Below are 3,295 nucleotides of genomic sequence, written 5' to 3'. Positions count from 1 at the left end.
TTTGCCCTATTTCTACATGAGAAGATAAGTAAAAATATATACTCCAGACCAAAAGTGCCTATGGGTTGTTTTGCTCTTTGGACACTAATGTTTCTTACAATTCATCATAATAATTTATTACTATCTTGTTAGCTATTAGATGCTTTTAAAAAGATTTTAAAATATATATTTATCCAATTTCCCTAGTTATTTTCAGCGAGAGTTTTCCCTGATAACTTAGCCCATTATTTCTGGAAAACTGAAGTTCACACATACACATGAACAAAGCCAAACATATGGTTATTGATTATTAGTGTGGCCTATTTCTCAGAGCCACAGGACAGCAACGGATTTTGCTCCTTCCCCAGTAAGGGATGAATGCTTTTCTCAATCTCTAGTAATACTTAAATACAAAGTTAAAATTTTCTTCCTGATGTGATTAACATACAATCCCATTTCCCTAGTCAATCATGAAAGTTCTAAAAGATAGTAACTTACTATGTACATATTGTAGTTAAAGAGGATTTTTGCATGTGCTTGAACTGTTAATTGGTAATAAAGCAACTGCCTTTATACAGTTTAATGTTGGTGAAACATTTGGTAGCCTATTATGCTGTACATTTCTTTAATATGGAAGCATTTAAAGACACTGACACGACAGTTTTAATTGAAACCTAATTGTTTATGTAATGGCTACACTGTACAAAATTAAAAGTGGCCACAATATCAGTCAGTAATAATATGCATTCATGCTGAAAAAGACTCTTTCTTTATAACTACAAGAGAAAGCATATTCAGTAATTTCACAAGTTTAAGATCATTCAATCTTTTTACGCTCAGACAAACAACAAAGAAGCAAACGTGGAAACAAATTCGCATTGTAGCTGAATCTGTTGCTCTTTAATGTCAAAACAGTGTTCAGAGCCTTTCACTCCTATCACTTGGATACATCTGTTACAGACATAAAAGAAAGTATGGAATTATTTCAACATGCATTTGCTTGTTGAATCTTACTCTATTAAATCTTCTCCGGCATATTGCTTTTCAAATCAAAGTCTTATTAAAGACAAGTTTCAAATCTGTTCTCCATAGTAGAGTCATGCATATTAAATGTTAATCACAGCCAAATAAATATCTACAATGGTTAGTTCCAAAATTAAACTGTATTTTGTTTTTGCAGTAAATTGTCTACACTGCTGTCTTACTTGAATGATCTAAGTTAGGACCCAGAAAATGAAATAACAAATTCTGAAGTCATTCTTAATAATGCTTTGTGTAGTATTCATTCTTAATAAATGCTCACATACTCCTCTGAAATAATGAAGACAATTAAAATAATTATTAAATTTACTTAAAATCAAACTGTTTTAATCTCATTTATTCAATATGTTTCTTTTCAGAGAAAAGTTAATATTCAGATTTTATTTTAAGCTAGTTCAGTCAACCAAGAGTCAGATTGTCCTAGATTAAATGGCAAACTTGGATTATAAAATAATCTCCCTTCTCATTACATTAAATTGCAAATTTTATGTGAAAATTGAAATATTCTATTCTTGCTTATGGTTGTGCATATGTCTCTTCCTGTATTTTCCTATTACCCTGTACTCTGTTTGCACAGCCCTTGCACTGAAGTGTAAACATGGTATACCAATCTTATACTGACTTATGGTTAGATCTAGTAATCACACTTGTTTTCTGTTTTTTTTATTTATATGGGGTACATTTAAATATATATATTTTATATATATAATATATATTTTTATATATAATATATATAAATATATATTATATATAATATATAAAATTATATAATTTCATATAATATATAAAATATATATTATATATAATATATATTATATATAATATATATTATATATAATATATAATATATATAATATATATTATATATAATATATATTTTATATATATTTTATATATTTTATTTATATATATTATATATATATTTTATATATCTATATCTATATATATATATATATAGAGAGAGAGAGAGAGAGAGAGAGAGAGAGAGAGAGACAGGGCCTCACTCTGTTGCCCAGAGTGGGGTACAGTGGCTTGATCATAGCTCACTGCAGTTTCAACTTCCCAGGCTCAAGAGATTCTCCCATCTCCGGATCCCTTGTAGATAGGACCACAGGTGCACACCATCACATCAGGCTATTTTTACTTTTTTATTTTGTAGAGATGGGGTTTGCTATTTACTCAGGCTAGTCTCAAACTCATGGGCTCAAGTGATCCTCTGCCTTGGCCTCCCCAAATGCTGGGATTACAAGTATAAGCCACCACTCCCTGTAAGGTATATTTTAAAAATAATCTTCTTTCAAAGAAATCTAAATTGAATACTAGATGGCATTTTTCTACATTAGCAATGGCTATCTCAAGTTGATTTTATAGGACAAAGAAATTTTAAGCACCAGTAATGATGTCTTTTTTCTAATTTTTAAAAATATAGTCATCATATTTATTCATTTCTATTTTGTACTCTATTGTAATCAATTATGCAGATAGTTGAATCAAACATTTTAATTCAAAGCAGAAATGAACATAAATTCTTAGTTATTTTTCAAAAGTCAATCCATTCAAACAAAACATAAACAATACATGTAATCTTATAATTTTCCACTTCATTTTCTAACTTTTTGTTTTTTATAAGTATGGAATGTTTTTTCACTCTCCCACTCAGGTACAAAAATAGTCACTAACTGTTTGGGAATAAGTTTTCAATCCCACTGTGAAATTATTCATAAAGGCATCCTGCCTTCACTAGTAAATTGAATCATACTGTGATGACTATGAGGAGCAGCACTCCCATCAATTAGATGAATATAATCTTTAAAGATAAGCTCAGTTTGATAACCATTAAGTGCACCTTAAATTAAAACAAAGAATATACCTTTTGTCTCAGCAAGAATTAATCCAAAATAGATTATTAACACAATACATATATCATAGTTTGGTTTGGATGACATGTATAGATAATGTGTTTAAATCCACATGGGCAATACATGTGTGTCATTAATTAGGTGGATTGCCTTCTCAATTCAAACTATGTTAAAACTTTGTAGGTCTGTTTCAATTAAACATTTTAAAGCTGATTATGTGTTTACTGAATATAATACACAAATTTAAAATATACTTAGAGTTACATTAGTTTATTTAATAAAAATACAATAAACAGCATTGAGAAAGGAGTCCCAATATAAACAGGTTTTAATAGCTTTATTGGTCGGAAATTTACAATTTTTTCTATATCTCTTATTTAGTGAGCCATTTAATGTATATCACAAGTACTCAGGCT

The sequence above is a fragment of the Homo sapiens genome, chromosome 13, assembly GCF_000001405.40.
Source record: "Homo sapiens chromosome 13, GRCh38.p14 Primary Assembly".
NCBI lineage: Eukaryota > Metazoa > Chordata > Mammalia > Primates > Hominidae > Homo > Homo sapiens.
Note: the sequence above shows the minus strand (reverse complement) of the source record.